This window comes from Homo sapiens, chromosome 3 (assembly GCF_000001405.40).
Source record: "Homo sapiens chromosome 3, GRCh38.p14 Primary Assembly".
Classification (NCBI taxonomy): Eukaryota; Metazoa; Chordata; class Mammalia; order Primates; family Hominidae; genus Homo; species Homo sapiens.
In genome coordinates this window covers 151,352,967-151,375,595 of record NC_000003.12, presented here as the reverse complement: position 1 = coordinate 151,375,595, position 22,629 = coordinate 151,352,967, and the positions used below count along the sequence as shown (strand labels likewise).

Genomic DNA, 22,629 nt, shown 5'->3' with positions numbered 1-22,629 from the left:
ATCTTCCTTTTTGATACTATTATGAATAATGTTATCATTATAAATGAGTAGTAGTGCACATCTCTTTTTTATACAATAATTTTCTTAGGGTAATTTCATAGAAGTGCAATTGCTGGGTCCAGTGTGAGTGGGGGGCTATAGATGCATGGGGTTAATGACCCTCTGAAGAGTTTCTACCAATTTAAACTCCTATTGCCTTTTCTTTACCATTTTTTTCAAAGGCAAATTATTATACTAAATAAAGTAAGAAATCATCAACAGTAACAGAGCCCAATTTGAACCCAGATCTATTTCGGGTGAAGTCTGTTTTTTAACCACCATACCAGTGGCTCAATGCTGGTTGCCCACTAAAATTACCTGGGATCTTTATAAAATTCCATGCCCAGGGCCCACATCAGACTAATTAAGTCAAACTCAGGTGGTGGCACCCAAATATCAGTAATTTTTTAGGCATCCAAATTGTTTTAAATGCCCCAGCTGATTCCAATATGCACTCACAGTTGGGAACCAACACACAATTGCCTCTCAATACTTATATGACTATGTAGCTATCTTTTACCATAGTTATAACATGCCTGTAAAAATACAAAAACATGACCCAGTCGGTATGACACCTATAGCAAAGTACAAAATAATATATAAGGTATGTCACTTTTTTTTTATAAGAGAACTTTTAAAACAAATATATGGGAGGGAGAATAAACCAAAAAATAATAAAACTGGATCATCTGGTAAGAGGGATATGGGAGGGAGACACATCTCTGAGTATACTTTTTTGTATAGTTTCACTTTTGAAAGTAAGCTATTCTATAGCCAGAGCTGGGGACAAGAAAGGAATTTAAATAATGCAAAACCAAATGAACCTAGTTCTATTTCACATAAAGAATACACTCATAGGGATGGGAAAAGTTCAAATAATTTTTGAACACAGTATTTTAAACCCTTAGAGAAAATGGAATTGCAAACAAATCTTCAAAGCCTTTTAGGTAGGTTTGTTCTTCCTAGTGGTATGTGTGTAACATTTCTTTCTTTCTTTCTTTCTTTCTTTGAGACAGAGTCTTGCTCTCTTACCAGGGCTGGAGTGCAGTGGCGCAATCTCGGCTCACTGCAACCTCCGCCTCCCAGTTTCAAGCGATTCTCATGCCTCAGCCTCCCAAGTAGCTGGGATGACAGGCATGTGCCACCACACCTGGCTAATTTTTGTATTTTTAGTAGAGATGGGGTTTCACCATGTTGGCCAGGCTGGTCTCAAACTCCTGGCCTCAAGTGATCCACCTGCCTCAGCCTCCCAAAGTGCTGGGATTACAGGCTTGAGCCGCTGCGCCCTAGCCTAGTGTACATTTTTGATACTGTATTTTAATTAATCATTTTTTGACAAAGCGCTGGATAGCACATTTAACATGCCCGGCCATGTGTAACATTTTAAAACTATTTCAGATGTATCATAGAATTAAACAAACAAGTAAATTGACGTTTTTGGGAATCAGCATTCTTACTAGGGAAGAAGGTGATACTAATATGAATTAGGGGAAAACACAGAACAACTTTGTGGGGTTGGATTGGAATTGAAGGTATCAGTAGGACCTCATAAATATATATATTTACATATATTTAAGTGTATGGATATATTTTTCTTTCTAGCTTTGTCTGCAGACAGGTCGTAGAATTAATGATACTCCATAACCATGAGCATACATAATACCCAGATCTTGGTTTCTCAGTAACGTTCTCTGCTAAATAGAACCAAGGGCTCCTTGGAGGAATAGTTGATTCCAGGCCCGGGGCAGAGAAAGTACAACATGGGCCAGAAACTATGAAAATACCAACTATTTTTAAAATGTCAAATGATGTGATAGGATGAATAGATTCCTACTGCACAAATCTGGGACAGTCTGAACATGAAAATAACTAAGTACAGTATATTATAACCCATATGGATAATAAATAAACAGGGGAGAGGAGGGCAGGCTCTTCCTTAAAATAGGACACAAACTGATATTATGAAGGGAGAGGAGAAGTTGGGGAAAAAAAAAAACCACCATTTTGCAACCATCATAGTAAAGACTAGACTGGGCAAGAATGAAAATGAATGCTTATGAGGGGTGGGGGAGTTAAACAAGGAGAAGAAAATTTGCACTGTCTCGAAGTATCTCCTCAAAGATTGCTTACTGCAAGGGGAAAATTAGTAACTACACAGTCCCCACTGTATAGTTACTAATCTTGAAACTATACAATGGAAACATCTTAATCAAAATTAACATCACCCTTGAGGTGCAAATGGACATCACATGCCTTCAGACATGATTACCTGAAAGAACTCAAGATTATTTCTGTAGTATCTTGGCCAGGGATGCATAATCTGAAGCTAATCTACAGGAAACCTCAGACAAATCCAACAATACTGGGACAATTAATAAAATCGAACTGTGGCCTATAGATGAGAAAAAATTACTGTACCAAAAGCTAAATTTTCTGATGTTTAATAGCTATATTTTGGTTATGTTATGAAATAATGCAATATTCAAAAGAATAAAATATACAATCTACTCTTAAATGATTCAGAAAAAATAGGTATATGCACCCACATCTCCACATACAAATTACAAAGCACATGTAGCAAAATGTAAAAATTAGTAAATCCGTGTAAAGGATGGACATGAGTTTTTTAAAAATAATTCTTGCAACTTTTCAGCAAACTTAAAATTATTTCGAAATAAAGTGAGCAAGAAAAAAAGGCCCACCTATGCACAAGTTTCCTATAAGTGTAAGTAGCTCTCTCCAAAAGAAGAGTTACGTACTCAAAGTAAAAGGCAAATTAAATTAGAATACCTGTTGACAGATAGTCCTCAGTACATATCTAGCGTATTCTCTTAAATTGGCAGTTTCTATGGAAATGCTTTTCCCACAGGATTTTGGATTTTGTGAGGCAGTCCAGATATCATCAGCATTCCCATCACATCGCAAACCTCTCATGGTGAAGTCATCATTCTTTAAAGAGCTGACACTGTTATTGCCAATTTTGGCATCTCCTAAGTAATAGAATCACAAAAGCAAAATCACAGAAGTTCAAAATATTGCCAAATAATTGAGGAGCAAATGAGGATAGCATTCAGGGATTTAAAATATATGAACAGTATTATTATTGAATAGCCAGTTGTTCAGGAATAGAGAGAATGGATCAAGAGCATAAATGCATGAACCCAGAGAAGTTTCTAACAGAAATGGAGAAAAAGCAAGTTCAAGACTCGGTCCTTATTTTGTTTGTATAATTATAGTTTCACCAAACTTGGAAAGGCCATTATGAATCACACTAAGTAATCAGAGAACATTGGTTTCACCAATATTTCAAGCATGAATGTATTCAAATTCATTTGACTTATAGACAAGGAAAAAATGGGTTACTCACCCTTCTAGATGTCCCTTTTCCATTTCTTCTCTTACAATGACTTATTTTCTATCCATAGGTCAAGAGAAAAGTTTTGCCTTAGCCCACCTTACTATCAACTTCTTGACAAGAGAGATTTATTTCCCTGGGAATGGAAAAGGGCAATGCATACTAAGGAAGCCCTGAAAAGTAGGGCATTCATTGAATAACCCCTGTTTTTTTACCTTCCTCTCTGTAACATACAAATTAGAAAACCTTACCTGATAAATCTTTAGTATACTTAGTGAAATGAAGCTAAGGAAAGTGTTTTCTTCATAACAAAGTTCTGGGAAAGAAACTAAACAGAATGTCTGAATAGCTAGAAATAAGAAAACTCTAGCCATGAGAGACAAATAACTATCATATTTTAAAAGTGAGAGAGTAATAAAAATTCAAAATAAGGATTGCCAAATGACAGCACAGCCTTCAAACTTTTGCCTTTTACTCACAGGATCATAGGCCTTGACAAGAAAATTTCCTGGAACCAACAAATGCTTTTACAGTAGGCCTTCACTGCTTGCAGCAAGTGGGCAAAACAATGCCCAAGTTAATGGAAAAAGCCTTTTAAAACCCACAAGTCAACCAAGAAAAAGTTTTGACTTTGCTGAAAAAAATGGCTTACTGAGTATTTACTAACAAAATCTTAAGCAGAGGAGAGGAATAAATAATGTATTTCAATTTATCAATATATAATCATATGTTTCTCATTAAAATACAAACACAAAGAGTACCAGCTTCACTTTACCCACAGGATTTCATTTAATAGATCACTTCAGGAGCTGAAAGAAAAGACTAAATTCTGCAAGTACCAAAATGTAGTATGCTTTCACTACCGTTAGGTGATGTAAACAACTACCTCTATACCTTGAGTTACATTGTAGAAATTAAAAACCAAATTTGATATAATGGTCCCATCTCCCTAACTCAAAATATATCCTGGTGGATAGGAATTGAGAGTTGGTTAGGGCATGGTAGGGTGGATAAATTAGAGCTTCTGCAAATAAGAAAAGAGAAGAAAGGAAAAGAAAAGAAAGAGAAAAAACAGTACCTGCTAGCCCCATACTAGGAGATCCTCATTTAGTTTAGATGTTAGGACAACAGAGAAGGTATGAGAGTCTGTGCCAGGCCTTCTGCAATTGCATTGACAATAGAATACATTTGAGCGTTCAGTGCCCACCTGGCTCAAAGCTCTGCTGACGTTAAACTGACCTGATCCTGACTTCTTAGACCCAGGGAATCCTCCAAATTATGTGGATGAAGAGGTGGGCAAATTCTACTTGAGATTAGACTAATCCTACAAATCATGGGGCCAGTGTCTAGAAGGTACTCATCTTGGTTTCTGCCATTAGCATATTTGTCATTTATAGATTCACACTTCCAACATAATTTTATTGAAAACTGATTCTTTGCTAGCTTCTCTGATGAGCACTAGAAATACCACAGGTAAAAAAGCCAGTCCCTATCTCTATGGTCCCTACATTTATTTATTAAGTAGAACCGACCAACTGACCTTCCCTTCAAATATGATCACAGTAGGGAAATTCTACTCACTGAAATGAGCACTTAATGTTGGCTGTATAAATCTATAAGCGCCTACACTCAGAGGAGGCTGTGGTCCTTGACGTGGCTCTACCTCCCCTTTTTACTACAAAATTCACAGGCCCGTGTGTGTATCCTTTCTTAAGGTGAAGTTTTAATAGCTTGTTTTATGAAAATTCTGTTATCCTTCCTCATCATCACCAAATAACATTTCCAAAGCAGAGCAAGATTATAGCCCAAAACATGTTATTTAGGACTCATCTAAAGCAATTCCTATCCACTCAGTAATTTCTGTTCTAATGAAGGGGAGCTACTTCTGAACATAAGAGTCAAGACCAAAAGAAGGTACCCAAAGTTGGAATTAGGCAGTCTGACTTGAAGACTTCCTAATCATTCAAAGCCTTTAAGATTTACAGAATAATGTTTTAATGTATTACCCTGTAAATGAAGAGAAAAGGCAGTGCTATTATTCCAGGAAAATTCTTACAAATAAGGATGTAAAGAACATCTTGGACATTATGAATTAAATGAAAAAAATTATTGTGAAACTTAATATTGATTTATCAATAATATCAACATCATTGCAACTATTGCCTGGGTCATCAAAAAACAAAGGTAGAAGGAAATATACTCGTTCAGGGTCATGATAGGAGCAAAAATACTAAGATTAAGACTCAGATTTTCTGGTGTTCTGCTCCTGAAATATAATCTGGATAAAATGTAAACATTTAGTTAGATTACCAAGTCATCCCTGTCTCTCACAAAGTGTGATTTCTGCCACCAGAGAAGGCAAAACAACCCTGTGGGTCTGAGGACCTATTTTACATCAGAATGAGACATTATGCAACTAAAATACCATAAAAAATATTACATGTAAGTTCCCCCAGAGACACTAGATAAGGGACAGGATCTTCCAGAGTCTGATGTATTTGGTCTAGGAGAAACCACTAATTTTTCCAGGAGAATAAGCGATCAAACAGTATCATGTTTCCAATAATACTACTAGATTTAAACCTGAAAATAAATTATTTTGCCTTCATTTCTGGTGATTAACCAAGAAGCTTAGGGTCAGAATAATCTTACCAAGCATCATAATTGCTTTTAAGACAGCAAACACGGCTCCCACTTCAATGCTGTTGTGAGCAGCGGCTAAGAGGTGTCTATCACAAGATGATCTTATTCCAGGGAAAGGTTTGCCTACAAAAACAACAAATCTTTAATAGTCTCATTACCATCATTAGTAATGTTTTGTAATTATTTACAGGCAGTCAGCCTTTCATTGTTAGACTGTGGGTGCTTAATTGCCATTAGCTTGCTTTAATTGATGCTTCATGGATTCACTAAGAAACATGGCCAGTATTCCTCACTTATCCTTTTCTTTTTATTTATTAAAACAATGTCGTTCCTCCTCAGAGAGCTACATCAACAAGATTAGTAGGACCTTCACATATTTGTGTTGATTCTCACACAGACACATGCCTATCTATATGGAAATGATCTTTAGGAGCAGACTTCACCAACGCCCCTAAAATTCTTACTTTATTCCTTTTACTTAGTACAAGAATAAATGAGGGATGGGTGCGGTGGCTCACGCCTGTAATCCCAGCACTTTGGGAGGCCGAGGCAGGTGGATCACGAGGTCAGGAGTTCAAGACCAGTCTGGCCAACACAGTGAAATCCCCATCTCTACTAAAAATACAAAAATTTGCCAGGCATGGTGGTGCATGCCTATAGTCCCAGCTACTTGAGAGGCTGAGGCAAGAGAATTGCCTAAGCCCGGGAGGCAGAGGTTGCAGTGAGCCGAGATCACACCACTGTACTCCAGCCTGGGTGACACAGTAAGACTTTGTCTTGGAAAAAAAAAAAAAAAAATGAAATGACATGAAATGAAATGAAATGAAATGAAATGAAATGAAATGAAATGAAATGAAATGAAATGAAATAAAATGAAATGACATGAAATGAAATGAAATGAAATGAAATGAAATGAAATGAAATGAAATAAAATAAAATAAAATAAAATAAAATAAAATAAAATAAAATAAATCACCATTGCCCTAAGCTGCTGTGATGTGGTTCAGAACCAACACACACAGTACGTGAGAGGACCATGCTGCCCACCAGCATGGCTTGGCCTAAGAGCAGAGGTATTTTTATTGCTTACTAACTCTTGATTCGTATTTCTCAATATATCCTGATATTACACAGATAAAAGGTGCTGACAGCCCTCTCAATGAATAGTATCATCTCACCCTTCATCACCCCCAGGGCATGCCCAAAAAATTAAGAAGGCAATTACAGAAAGGGACAGCCTATTTGGTCATTTTAGAAACTTTAGCTACCAATGAAAAGGTAATCAGATTTTTCTGCAGTCAGCTCACCCGTTGCTTGAGGTAAGAAGCAGGCCTGGGGAGCTCGGAAGAGATGAAGCAAGAGTCGGCATGTCATTCTCGCCCCAGGCTCGGCGTCCGCATCCCCACAAGCTAGGAAAGGGGGATTGGAAAAGCAAGTTTTCTAACACACTTGGGAACAAGTCCTTCAGGTTTCCTATTAAGCTAAATTTCCTGGAATAATTATTTAAATAAATTTTCCTTATGGTAAGAAAATAAGGCCCTGGCTATTTTTCTGAGAAATCTTGGTGCTTCCTTAAAACAGACTGTAACATAGCAGTTTCCCACCTTTTTCACGGTGATACATGTTAATTTGTATAAAATAACTATTAAAATTCTACCATATCTACCTTGATACTACACCACTTCCCAATATACATACCCTCAAATACTCCTTTCCCTGTGTTGTAATGTTAGAAACCACTCCATCAAGACAACAATCAAAGAGCAACGGATGTTCATGGATGCTGCCTTACCTGCTGCTAGAAGAGAGGGAAGTGCGACATGCTGCACGACGTCCTCCAGGGAAAAACACTGTCGTGCTATCAGAATAGCAATGAAAGTAGCTAATGAATCATGGAATGAAAGGTCACTCACCTTCAAGAAAAACATTGACAGGTTTTAATACCTAACAACCTTGTAAGCAGTATCTAAGATTAATAACTAAGAGAATGCAGGCAATACCAATAAGATCTCAAATCCCAACATGAACCAGCAGAGGGAAATGATAACATATCATGATGATTATCCTCTAGGCCTATTTCTATTTTATAAAACAATGAATGAGGTTTACCCACATTCCAATGCTGTAAGAAAATACTGAGCTTTGACTTGCATACATGCAAATGAAAAACACAACAACAAAAATGGAAAATCAGGAAATCACTACAAGATGTAACATCATTAAAACATTTTGGCAGACTGCAACAAGATATACCATTTAAGAGTCAGACAATTAGAAGGCAGGGAAAAACCAGGAGGCTCCCCCTAGTTGAAAAACAAGCCTCACTAAGGTTTTGGAGTTCCTTTCAGTGGTAACTACTAAGGATTCTTTAATGATTAAACTCGTTTTAAAAACAACTCTGAAAGTTTCCAATTGACTCTTAAATTTAAAAAGAAGAAAAAGGACAGAGGGGGAAATTAATTCAGTCACAGTGAAATCTTTACCTTTCTAGATCTCACGTGACCTTGGCAGAAAATAATAAGAAAAACAACTACAATAGCAATCTTCATACTGATTCGCACCATATGCCAAGGACTATGGTTAACTTGCAAAAATCACCTTATTTATTAGCACACCACCATAAGGTTCACACTATTATTAATTCCAATTTTTTAGATGAGGAATTGCAGAAGGTAAAGTGTAATTTAAAAAAACAACTAAGAGATTAAGAAACTATATTAAAGATAAAAATTTAAGTCTCTTCTGTCCAGAAAAGCAGGCCACATCTATGAATTTTATATACATAAATTCTTAAGTCTTCATATAATGAAGATATAGAGATAGGATTATCCAACCAGTCCTGATTAGCAGAATTCAGAAGTCAACCTTCAACTGAGAGGCAGGTGTAAAGATGTATAAAGAACTATGCATAAGAGATACTAGTGTACGACAAAGACTACTCCAATAAGTGGCAACAGGAGAAGTAAAGAATCAAGACAGATTTTTAAAGAAATACACACATCATGGATGCAACATGATATCCAAGGAAGTCAGTGATATATACAAGGGGTATCTTTTCATCATCTTCCAGGCATTAATTGCCAAAAAACACCGGACATCCTCGGAATCTAGACCTGGACATTCTTATGTAACCCAACAAAGCCTTTATTTGTATACTGCGCCTTGCACTTAAAAATATCAAAGTGGCCTTCTTCAGAATGTGAACTGCTTTAGTTAGATTATGTCCCATGCTGTGAGGAATCCAGGGCAGTTGGTAAAAAGAAAAAACAGCTCTGAAGAGACCATCCATATGGAAGAAATCTCAACTAAATGGAAATTTCAGGAAACAAAGAAATTCTTGGCCCCTCTGCTACAGATTAAACTATGCATTCTATTTATTTCTATTTTTTTTCATGTATTTAATCCCTGGCAATGTCATTGTGGTTTACTGCTTTTGGACAGAGAAAGAAAAAATATTTTATAACATTTCAGTTGAATCAATTAAATAAAAGCCAAAAGCAAAAAGATTACCCACTAACTAAATATTTAATTGCACAGTTCAATTTTTAAATGAAAAAGAAAACTTACATCTACAGTGCAAAGTACATCATTAAACCCCCACACGTGATTTGAAGAACAACAAAGAGCCTTCAGAACCCCCAGCCATTCTGAACTAAGAACAGTGCAGCAAGCCGTAAGCTCAGAGGAGAAATTGGCTATGTCGTTAATCCTAGAAAAGAAAAAGAAGACACAGAAAGTAACCTTGTACAAAAGAGAAATACTCACCTGTGATATACTTAATTAACATATATTTCACTAACATCAAACAAGTCATTTTCTTAGATTCACAGATAAAATACTCATTTGTCAAATAACTTAGTAGAACCTTGAGAAGAAGATAACAATGGCTTCAAATATTTTTGACAATGCTGTTAAGCAACAAACAATAATCAGTACATACACGAATTAGAATATTTTTAGTTTCGTGAATAAATCTGAGCTACGATTTACATTTTTAAGGGCATCAAAAAATTTATAGACATCATGTAATTTAGGTGGACCCAAATACGGTTTTTTTCAAAATACAGGCATTCTTATTTATATTTTTATTATATGTTTTTGAAAATAAATCATGTAATTGTTGGCCATATTGAAAACATCTCATGCCAGAGTAATAAATAAGAAAGCACTGTCTCTCAGGTTAAGGAAATTAAAAGATAGTGCAGAGGTAAATTAAGGAATAAAAGAAGATTTAGAAAAAGCAAATGATAGCCAAATGTGAGTCCAGACACTTACTAACGACATCAATTTCAAAGAAGCACCAAGGCAACAACTCTTTGGTTAATCATGAATTCCAGGGTAACCCATCTCACCTGCCAGCATCCTGATGGCCCATACATACATTCATGAGTGTATTGCAGACAAAGCTGTAGCGATTGGCCGCATTGTCACTGAGGATCTTGCCCAGCATTGAGTAGTTGATGCTGCGGGCTGAGGGATTCTCAATAAAATCCATCATGAAGTCTGGATCCCATCGCAAGTTCGAATTTGCAGGCATCACGTTATTATATATGGTTTGCTTTACTTTTGAACAGGCACTACTGAGGTTATAAGAAAAAAAGTTAAAACAGAAAAATAAAACTAGAATAACTAGAAAACTATTTCACTTAAGGACATATTAAATGGCAGGAACTGTAATGCATTCCTAGAGAAGATTCACATTATGAGTTCTTAATTAGAACTTCTTACTAATTGGCGCTAATCAAAGTACTTTGGAATGTAGAAATTCCTCAATAAATAATTTCTAAATAGGTGGAAGAACAAAACAGAAATGAAGTATTTGGTTATAAATCTTAATTATTTCCTAAATATGGTCTACATTTTACATGCTTTAAAAATCAAAGAAATTACTATGGCTTCCAACAACTGTGTCTTAACAGTTGTTGAAAAGTGTTATTACTTAAAAATAAAAAAAGATTCAATTACACATAAGAGTACTCTTAATTACATATCTTACAAAACTATTTCTCTGGTATAGTGTACGCAGTAGAAGTTCGTGTGCCAAGACTATTCTGGAGACTATGGCACAGCTGTGAAAAAGAGAGGCACATTCCTTGTCTTCAATGAACTTACATTCTAGTAAGGGGATATGGATAATACACAAATTCTATGGAAGTGAAAAAACTATTATATCATTCATAAAAACTTATCATGTTGTATTTCTCAGAGGCATTAAGAGATTTTTAAAGAGCCTGCTCTATCATATAAAAACAGCTCATGTTTCAGTGAGTTACGTCTGAATCAGATATAGACTACTAGAAGTATAACAGGAATTAGAACCTATCTCCTCCAAACCTGCTCTGTGAATGAGACTGGCAGAAAGATTTGATGTAAAATCTCAGATTCTATATAAACTTAGCCATTTGTGCTTACCTTCTGTAGGTAGCATATCCATAAACAACATTCACTCTCTCTACTCAAAAGCTCTTTTATGCATCAGAAAGTCTGTTTTATAGATTAAGTTTTTGGCAGCAAAAGTATTTGTGGTTTGTGGTGACCTATGGCTTTTTTTTTAAACCCCATATTGTTATATACTTGCATCAATGGCAGCCAGGAATGAGTCCCTCGAAGATGAAAAGTCACAAAGACTCTCTATTCTAAACTATTGCCACTGTCAATAGCTTTAAGAAAACAGAGATTGTTCAGTTCAATGTTTACCAAAATGTAGTTTCAGCTCTATTCCTTGAGAATCACTTTTGGGGTGTTTGTTAAAAATATAGAATCCTGGGCCTCCACTGTGGGTGTATAGAGTCCGTATGTGTAACAAGATCTCCCACATAAATCAAGTGCCAAGTAATGCTTGGGAAGCACTACTCTAACAAAGAGGACTAAAGTCATCTACTAAATGGCAGCAATTACAATCTTCTACACTCTCTTTCTGTGTAGACAACTTATATTTTAAAAAATGTGTTGGTTGTCATTGAAGGATACAAGTTTGCAATTCAGAGTCATGACATTTTCAGTTTCTTGAGGTTGATGTGAGAAATAAAGCTCTTGATGGAAATAACCCAGCACAGTGCTTGGCACACAGCAGTAGCTCAATCAGTGGTAGAGGTGACCAGTGTTGTATCTCCCCCAAATACTCCTCTCACACAACTGTGTGAATGGTGTTTCAGAAAAAAATACTCCTCTCACACAACTTTATGAATGGTGGTTCAGATAAAATTATTAAAGTTGTTTTATCAGCATACTGATAGAAATCTCTCTGTGTATCCAGCTTTTGTTTGCCCATTTTTCTTCATCTCAAACTACAAATAGGTCTCTGACTTCAAGATATCCCAAGAAAGTTGTATTTCTCTTTCATTTTTTCAAATAGAGGAAACTTTAGACAGTGCCAATCACTATGATGTGCCACTCTGCTGACCCCTGAGTAATTACTCTATTCACTGTGTGCTGGTACCCTAAATTTCCACACACCCCACGCCCAGCGCATGTTACTTGAATTACCTCATTTAACCTATTTGCACCACACTGCAGGAGTATTAAGGGTCAAATAGGCTACTGGGGCTGTCTGAGGAAGTTCACTATTAAAAAAACGGCTGCTGTAAGAACTAAATCATGTAAGAGAAAGCTCTTTGAAAAATGTAAGCTGAAATGGAAAGCTCTATGTAAAGTAAGAGAAGAATGTTAAGTATTTTTAAATTGTGACACAATTTCTGTGGAAAGATATTTCCTAAGACCCACTCAAATATTTCACAAAGGATTATTTTGAAACCTAACCCATTTCATATTTTCACACTTTATTAATACCATTAAAAACATGAATTGTCTTAGATATAACTATCATTCAACAGATTTTTTTTTCAGTGCCTACTAAGAGCCACATACTCTTCAAGACACTGGGATGTAGCAGTGAAAAAAATAGAAAAAGCTTCTGCTGTCATGAAGCATACATTCTAAGGAGGAGCCAGGCCATAAATAAATATAGAATCTACAGTGGGGGTAGCAAGTGCTGAGGCTCAGAATGATGACATGGGGGTGCTATTTAAAATGGTGTGCTCAGGGAGACAGTCGTGAGTGAAGTGTGGGAGTGGGGCACACAAGTAACTGAGGACAAGTATCACAAGCAACGTAAGATAAAGTGCAAAAGCCCTACTGTGGGTTGTTCTTAGAGTGTTTGATCAGTAAAGAGGTCTGTGTGGCCACAATAAACAGAGGGAAAGGGGTGGAAGAGAAGATGGGACCCTGCAGATCTTGAAGGCTAGGTAGGGATGGTGAATTTTATTCTGAGTGGGTGGAAAATCACTGAAAGCCTGTGAATCATTCGTATATTAAAAGGATCACTTTAGTGGATGTTGAAAATGTGTTTTAGAGTTAAGGGTGGAAGCAAGGAAACCAGTTAGAAGAACTCTGCAATGGTCCAAGCAGAGGTATCCACAGCGGTAAAGAGAGGGTGAAGAATGGGCAGGTTCTAGAGATGCTTGGAAGGCAGAGATCACAGAATTTACAAACTGGATACGAGGTATGACAAAGGAAAAAAAATGGTAGTTGAACATCCTTTCCCTACCTCCTTCTGGATTCCAAATTTGTTTTCTTAGCTATTACCTTCTACCACTCTCCTCCTACCCATCTATAGTAAATAATTGTCCTCAAAATAACATTAAATAAGCATTTACTTTCCAGCCCTAGTGCTGCCTGTGGGGGTAGCAAGTGCTAAGATACAACGAATGACAGGAAGTTGGGGATGCTATTTGAAGTAGGAATGGCCATGGAAGCAGAAAGACAAACGGAGTGAAGAAGTCAGCATGCAAATAGCTCTGAAAGAATGTTCTGAGTGGGGTGATTTCAAGAGCAAAGCACAGAATATTGTCTCTCACACTTACAGTAATTTGTAATAAAGGTTATAGCTACAGCCAAAAATAATTCAATACAAATTCTGGATAAGAGTATTAAGAAAATAAAAATATTTATAAAAATACAACTTTCTGGACTCATTAAACAATAAAATATTCCTTCAGCAATAAGATGTATTGACAGGAATCAAATACTACTATCATTATCAGGTCATGAATTTTAAGTCTAAGATAGCAAGTAGGTTAACTGCAGAATTTACAGTACCTTTTTATGATTAATTCAGTTCTATTTTTTTCATACCAGGAAACATTAGATAGCATTTATCAAGCTGAACCTGAATCTAATACAATCTGTAATAGAAACCAGGTTTCCTACTTTTAATGCACATTGATTTAATGTTATTCAGTGAGGGTACTGGTCATTTTAAAAAAACTCATTAACACATGAAAAAGTTACCTGCTAAACAGCAAAATTGTTTTTGTGAAAAAAGAGGAAAAGTAAACACAGTCTGAAAAAGTTCTAGAAAAGTGAATGGGGCTATAGAACCTTCTATGAGTCACCAGGAAATAAAAAATGAAACACTGTAATGCCCAAAGGATATTAAAGCTAATCCAAGTAATGCAAAAAGTCAGCTCAGAAAAGGTAGATATCAAAATCAAGAGGGATACAAATAAAGCAAAATACAAAGAGCTGCCTCATTGATCTTTCTATTAGATTTATAATCCAAATTGAATTTTAAACTTAAAATGGAAAGATATATCAAATAATCATTACTTCAGTAGGACTTACTTAAAATGCACTGTCTGTACAACATATAGAAAATGTAAAATCTTAAGAAATACTTTATTTATTGAAGAAATAAAATCAGACCTAACATCATTTCAATATTGGGGGAAAAAAAACCTATGATCACACATTTACATTGTGTAATAGACTATCGTGTATTGTCCCTGTCTATTTTAATATTCAGTTTAAACAAATCATGAGTATATCAAAATTACTGCCTAATAGATACAATTGCAATTAGCTTTCATTATTCAAAAGGATGACAATATTGTCAGGGTCACTAACAAACATAGGCATGATCCTATTTCTGTCCTTTTGAGTCTCTTCTACTCACCTGAAGAGGTCTCCAAATTTACTTCTGAGGTGGCTACATGACACATAGAGATCATAGAGGTAGGCTAAAATGCATCTTTCAGGGGAAGAACATTCTGAGGGGTTTACGACATGCTTGACCACACCACACAACCTGAGGAGAAAAATATACGAAGAAATAAGACATAGATTTGTACTATGTGGGTTATCATTTGACTCTTTTAGAATGAAAATATGTATCACTTGGGTAAGAAAAAGGATATTGGATTGTTGAAACTAATAAATAGAATAGTAAATAACTCAGTACAATATAATTTTTCTATTATGACACTGAAATAGATTTTAAAAAAAACTTCAGAAATGTCACTGATGACAAGAAACAAAAGCAAGGAAAGAAATTCCTTCATAAAGAAGGTACGTATGGAGGAATCCACCGATTAAGTTGCTGGGACTGAGACACAAAAGGAAAACTGTTGTAGAGAGCCCCTGCCTCCGCAGATTCACAAATTCCATCAGCGTGCAAAGATTCCCAAGTTTTCTCCTTTGTAAAGGAGCAATGCTTCAAAGCAGTCAATCTGGAAAACCCATTTTCAAGTGCATAAGCAGTTCATGGTTTGGAGTCACATTCCCCTTATGCATGTATACATTCCCCTATGTATACCAACTAGTAATAAATTTATTTTAGTTTATCTTATATAAGAAGATAAAGCCCCTTCTGTTTTGTAATATTCTGTATAACTCCTGTAGTTATAGGCCTCTTTGTCCACAGTCCATACAACACAGAAGTCCATACACCACAGCTGTAAACACTTGTGGTCCATTCACCTATCTGTGCATCTGATTCCATCACCATCTTGTATTTTGTTACAGGGCTCAGCCATTATATTACACTAACGGAGTCACAGATGACAGATTATTAAAGACGAAAAAAGCTTTAGAAACTATCTGATTCACCATCCTTATTGTATAAAGGAGGCTCTGAGAGGCAGAAAGGTGGGGTGACTTGCTCAAAGGCAAAGAGCTAGTTCTAGCAGAAGCAAGACAACAGCTTAGGTTTCCAGACTCCCAGATCAAACTCCTCTGTACTATTCAGGGGAAAGGGCAAAGTGGAGAGAACATAGGATGTCTAGGCCAAGGAGGACAATGGAATCACAGGTACCATAGGTGGAACCAAGGAGACTTCTTGAGGAAATGGCAATGTAGTATCCCAAACCCTGTGAAATGACATCAACAGATGGGACTACCTAGCAGCAGGTAAAAGCTGCCAATTAGAACAAAAGTGTCACACAATTAAGAAGAAAAGTAATGATTCAACCTGTTAACTATATAAACAAGCAAACCAAAAACTATGCAGCCATAAAAAAGAACAAAATCATGCTCTTTGCAGCAATATAGATGTAGCTGCAGGCCATTATCCTAAGCAAACTAATGCAGAAACAGAAAGCCAAGCACATATTCTCACTGTAAGTGGGAGCTAAGCATGAGGTACACGTGGACATAAGGATGAGAACAACAGACACTGGGGACTACTGAAGTGGGGAGACAGAGAGCAGAGGAAAGGTCTGCAAAACTACCTACTGAGTACTATGCTCACTTCCTGATGGTTTCAATCATAACCTGAAACCTCAGCACCAAGCAATATACCTTTGTAATAAACCTGTAATAAATCTGTTCTAAAATAAAAGTTAAACAAAATCCTGATATTATCTATAAAGCGAAAAATTATTTTGTGACTAAAGTAAATAAACATTTATTCAGAGTCTGTTAGGTTTAGGTATCCATCGTATAGTAGTCAGTGTTTCCTCAACTTCTTTGATTTGCAAGCAATAAGAAAAACATTTCACATCGTAATCCAGTGTACTGTTCACATAAGTACGAAGAAGTGAAATAATAGTTTTAAGCATAATACTTACCCTTACTAATATAAGGTAAAAATACAACAAAGTTAATGTCAAATATGATTTTATGAATATTTAACAGGATAAAAATTTTCAAGGCCAAACTAAATGATACTGAAATCAATTTCAAAATAACAATATTAAAAACAAAAAACAAAAACAAAAAAACTTGTCACAACCCATTAAATTCATTTCATGACCAACTAATGGGTTTCAATATACTATTTTAAAAGTAGAACATAGATTAAACAGCATGAATAAGCTTCCAGTTCGAAAGATTTTTATTAAAATCTGTGAGATTTATTAGCTATGTGATATAGGGTACATCACTTCACCAAACACTTAACAGGCCTGAATCTCAATTTCCTGGGCTGTAAAATAATACTAAATTCAAACTTTATACAGTAGCTGAGTTATTAAATAATTCTCTATTTCCTGAATTCTAATATGTAAATATTCTTACATTCTGATGTTTTTAGGATGTTTCAGATTTCATTTCATAACATGTAATTAATACAAATAAAGGTAGCATTTCCTCTTTCCCAGAATAGCTACTGTTAAATTGATATCATTCTAGGATAGCATATAAATTGATTACATGTGCTAGATTAAAAAAATAAAAGGTACTATAAAACCAAAGAACCCCATGATTCTTTTGAGCTCAGAAGGAAAAACTGAAGAGAAAGAAATAACAGGTTGTCTTTCTGTGTTTAAATAAAAAGCCCTGGAGAGTGGATAAAAAGCAGCTTATGTAAGTTTTTGAGAGCTCATTTACACTAATTTGGTGCCTTAGCCTCAGTCTTTAATGGGGGTGGTATTAGCTAATTCTGTAGCTCAACTTCATTAGTAGAGTAAGCCCCAGCCTACAACTGAAAATGAAGTAATTTGTTCTAGGTTAATTCTTATCAAAAGATATCTTTAATCAAAGAAATGCAATTGAAGAACCAAATTTCTAAGATGATAATGTATGCAAAGCTTATTTGATGTTGAGTCTGCAAACATAAACTGAAATTACATGAATAAAGAAGTTACAGCATTCACTATTCATAATATGCCAGGATGCTGGCCAACATTAACCGTAGAGTGCTATAAATGACTAGCTTTGTACTTAGAAACCAGGGAGAGGGAAGAAAGGCAAGGAGGAAGGGAAGAAGGAATCACACATTATTAGAAAGAACATACTTTACATGCTTAGACCTTTTTGATCGATGTTTTCTGGCAAGAGTGTTCTTTAACCATGTTTTAACTAAAACAGGTATCAGTACTATTTTTCTTTTAAAGCCACTATAATATTTCATCACTAGTTATACATTCTGAGATTGGAAAAACAACAATGACATGCTATATACCAACCCTTCAAACACCTGGGCTGTCTGATCAGGATTCAAGATTAGACAACTGTGATAGCGCCTGAGAACAGCCACGATGCAGACACACAGTCCTGTTGTATAACTTCCTGCCAGGCTGGAGGATTTTAGGAGCAGTTCAGCTTCCACAACACTCAGTTCATTTAGTAACTGTAACAGGAGAAAAGACTGAATAAACATGTAGGTGCCAAAACAAATAGAGAAAACATTTATTTTTATAAACCATAGATATACTGAGTCATTACACTACAAATACATTCCCTAAATTTAACTTTTTTAAAATTTTTAATCCTTTTCCAATTTATAGAGTTGTTCTTCTGTCTAGACATCAGGATGTATACAATTAGGAAGTACCCAGTGCTGAAATAAGGTACTGAAACTTCAGGGCAGTGCAAGGTCCTGGACTGTATAATTTTAGAAAACCCCACCCCTCACTTTTCTCCCCTTTGTCTTTTTAATAAAATGAAAGTTATTTGGCTTTTCTTTTCATTAACAAAGTTAATATCTCCTATAAAATAAACAAAGGAAACCAAGTCTTATTTCTGTTTGCTAATAGCAGAAGGAAATAATGAACTCAAATGTGCATAAGAAATAACACAGTGGGGCAAATCAAATCATAAGGTTTGTTCTGGCTCTTAACCTAAAACATGCTCTATTATAAAGAGCAAATAAACTTTCATCTTTGCTTCAGGAAAATAACAAAGACCAAAAGAAAAACAACAACAACAACAAAAAAAAACAGAAGAAACACTCAAAACTCTCACATTTTTAAATGGTATATATTTTGGCACCAATGATAATTATTTAATTGAAAACTATGAACACAACTTTAAATAAAATGTTAGTTTAAGACTGTTAATTCACAATGTCTAAATTATTCAAAATTGTACTATGTCCCTAAAATGATGTTAATGTACAGCAATTGGTTCATTGATTTTTATTTTTTAAATTTTATTTATTTATTTATTTTTGAGACAGGGCCTTGCACTGTCCCATAGGCTTGAGTGCAGTTGTATGATCATGGCTTATTGCATCCTTGACCTCCTGGGCTTAAGTGAGTCTCCTGCCTCAGCCTCCCAAGTAGCTGGGACTACAGGCATGCAACCAGCTAATTTTTAAATTTTTTGTGGAGATGGGGTCTCACTAAGTTGCCCAGGCTGGTCTAAAACTCCTAGATTCAAGCAATCCTCCTACCTCGGCCTCCCAAAGTGCCAGGATTACAAGCACAAGCCACTGTGCCCAGCTAATTGGCTCACTTTAAATTGCACAATGCCTGGTGGATTTGCTTTCCTAAAAGTAAGAGAAACATGGTCTCTTTGACACCTGTATTGCGAAGTCAATTAGTCCGTTGATGTTCAGTGCTGGCTCCATGAGATCAAAGATGAGCTGAATGTGGTGAGCCAAAGGGAGATGATAGGATGTTCCTGACGCAAAGCTTGTGATTTGTTCTAGCACATTGTTAGAAATCTGTGCAAATAAAAACAAAAATATTGTAAGACCAATATTCTAAATAATCTTTTACTAAGATAAATCATTTTTACTTTTTAAGACAGTTGAATCTATACATGATTCTACTTTGACGAAAGTCAAAACGTGTTTCTATAGAAACTATAAAACTATGTACAAAGAAAATGATTTCTTCATAACTACAATTTTAAAAAATACAAAAAGTTGTCATTCAGACCTAAATCTTAAGTATTCTAATGGTAGAACAACTACAAATATTAATTTTTAGACACAACCATTTGAATATCAATGGATTTGTAAAGCAAAACAGATGTGTTTTCTTCTCAATGTCGTAGTATTTTATTTCAATCATCAACAGATTTCTCATCAATTGCAATATAGGACCAAACTCTAATAACCTAACTATTTCATTAGCTATTACTTTATATGTCACCGATTATTATCATAAGGACAAAAAAAGTACATAATAAAAATTAATCCTTCGAGGAAGGCAACCTGACACTTAAAAGAACTACTCAATAGTCTGAGATACTTCCAAGTATGTTTATAAAATATATGTCTAAAACCATTAAGGTTGAGAAAATATACTGCATGAAAAAAATTTTTAAGTAAATTAGAATACTGCAAATGCATAATAAACAGCTTTAAATAGCTACCTGAGATGTCACTTGATGTTGATCAAAATATGAAAGGAGCTGGAGTTTAGTGAACACAGTCTCCAGTGTTGGAAATGTCTCCTGTTTGTTCTTCCTGGCTTTTTGTCCTTCGTCCCCAACTACATAAACATAAAGCAGATCCATTATTTTCCATTTAATAGAAGCTCTCGACATTTTTAATGGATACTTTTTTTTAAAGTATAGCATACATACAGAAAAGTGCACAAATTCTATGAATTTCAATAAAATAAATACACAATAAGACTTGAATGCAAAGTAACAGAATGGAATCTCAGAAACTCCCTCAGGCCTCTCTAGGCATGTCTCCCTCCCTAGGAGATCAAAATCCTGACACCTAACAACTTAGATTGCTATTGCCTACACTGGAACTTTATATATAAAGGAAATCATATAGTATATGCTTTCCACATCTGGCATCTTGCAATCAACAGTATGCTTTTAAGATTGATTCATGTTGCTGAGGTAATTTTAATGTGTTCTAAAAACTAATAATTCTCACTTATTTACAGTATTCCAATGTGTTACTGTACCACCATTTACTTAACCATTCTAGTGAGTAGTTTCCAGATTTTAGCTATCATAAAAAGTGCCTTTATAAACATTTCTCACTAAACAACTTTTAAATTACAATGATATCCACAATGAAGGTGGGGAGATCTCCTGGGCTCACTTTGACTTAATCAAACACTTGCTTGGCATCTTCTTTGGAGACTCATCTTGTTACTTTTCTGACACAGTTTAATATATTTTTTAAAAAAGAAATTACATGATTCCTTTTTTAATAGTGGCAAAAAATTAAATCATTCCACATTAATGAAGAAGTGACATGTTTATCAAATTAGCATAAAGAGGTTTGAAGAAAATTCCAATTAAAAAAAATAAGCATTGCTTATTCTAGGGGTACTCTTCTTAACTGTTCTAACAATAAAATCCAAAGCTAGCTTCAATCCTGCTTTTAAATACTTTAATATTTTATGTTTACAAAGACAAATCTAAAAACAAAAAGGAAAAGTTGGATATATGATTGATAATGTCATTTCTAGCACTGTGATTCTTTTTTTTTTTTTTTTTTTTTTTTGAGACGGAGTCTCGCTCTGTCGCCCAGGCTGGAGTGCAGTGGCGGGATCTCGGCTCACTGCAAGCTCCGCCTCCCGGGTTCACGCCATTCTCCTGCCTCAGCCTCCCAAGTAGCTGGGACTACAGGCGCCCGCCACTACGCCCGGCTAATTTTTTGTATTTTTAGTAGAGACGGGGTTTCACCGTGTTAGCCGGGATGGTCTCGATCTCCTGACCTCGTGATCCGCCCGCCTCGGCCTCCCAAAGTGCTGGGATTACAGGCGTGAGCCACCGCGCCCGGCCAGCACTGTGATTCTAAGTAGTTAAAGGCTACCAAGACAAGAGTTCTACTCCTCACACTGTCGTCTTCTTTAGGAAAGTTTAATTTCAGAGAACAAAGGTTACTTTACAGATTTCTCTATTAAAGACACAAGAAATGAACAAGATTTCACTGAACTCAAAAATATTTTGCTAATGGCAAATGTAATGGTCTTAAACAATAACATGAAAATAAAAGAGACTTCTCTTTCAACAATAAGCAATTAGTGGTTACAGTCAAAAACAAAATAAAACAAAACACCACAAGGCTGGTTCTTTTCTAATTCCCTAACAAAGAAACCTTGATGCTAGAGTACATCAGAATTTAAAGGTGCTGGGGTAACATAAGTTACAAGCTTGTGCCACTTTTGGCCAGTAACACCAAATATAATGCAAAGATTAGGAACTAACAAATTCATTAAACCTGCTTATTTTTTCAATGTCTATTCTCAAAAGTACAAATTATGTATGAAATTTTGCCTTCACTGTAGCTGCTCACATGTCATGAGCATGTTTAAAATAACCAAGTTTTGAATTTTTCATTTACTAACATCTTTGATCCAAGGCTGAAGAGCTAACATCAATAGTCTTGTGCACAAAATGCCTTAAAAGTGAAATTAATGCATTGATTCAGTTCTTCCTGGGACAAAACAAATAATAACAACAGACTTAAAGAAGTAGATCCTACTAAAAACTCCCAAGTGCACCTTTTTATTTGTTTGTGTTAATGGACTCCATTTATCTATGTATCACTAACTTCTTAAAACTTCATGTAAAAGAATGTAATTGGTTCTTAGCAATTTATACTCATTTTAACAGCAAAATGTAAGAAATCAGTGGTGATTCTCAACGAAATACTTTATTTTAATGATATTTAC

At 35.4% G+C, this 22,629-nt stretch overlaps 2 protein-coding genes across 25 annotated transcripts in view; one reads left to right on the top strand and one right to left on the bottom strand.

Moving 5' to 3' along the window:
* The window catches only part of MED12L (mediator complex subunit 12L), a 350,990-nt gene that overhangs the window by 61,058 nt on the left and 267,303 nt on the right, over positions 1-22,629 (bottom strand). For 14 of the 24 annotated variants that reach the window (XM_017005676.2, NM_001393769.1, XM_017005678.2 and 11 more), the window contains 10 exons: positions 20,357-20,475; positions 19,557-19,700; positions 18,220-18,383; positions 14,991-15,122; positions 10,390-10,617; positions 9,605-9,746; positions 7,830-7,950; positions 7,345-7,446; positions 6,047-6,160; positions 2,830-3,029 (listed from right to left, as the gene is read on the bottom strand). In XM_017005676.2, coding sequence (XP_016861165.1) covers positions 2,830-3,029; positions 6,047-6,160; positions 7,345-7,446; positions 7,830-7,950; positions 9,605-9,746; positions 10,390-10,617; positions 14,991-15,122; positions 18,220-18,383; positions 19,557-19,700; positions 20,357-20,475 — 1,466 coding nt within the window. Of the gene's footprint in view, positions 1-2,829; positions 3,030-3,407; positions 3,531-6,046; positions 6,161-7,344; positions 7,447-7,829; positions 7,951-9,604; positions 9,747-10,389; positions 10,618-14,990; positions 15,123-18,219; positions 18,384-19,556; positions 19,701-20,356; positions 20,476-22,629 lie in introns of those variants that run through there. The other 10 variants (XM_017005677.2, XM_047447405.1, XM_047447406.1 and 7 more) reach the window with 2 other exon arrangements.
* The window catches only part of P2RY12 (purinergic receptor P2Y12), a 47,911-nt gene that overhangs the window by 9,158 nt on the left and 16,124 nt on the right, over positions 1-22,629 (top strand). The window lies entirely within an intron of this gene.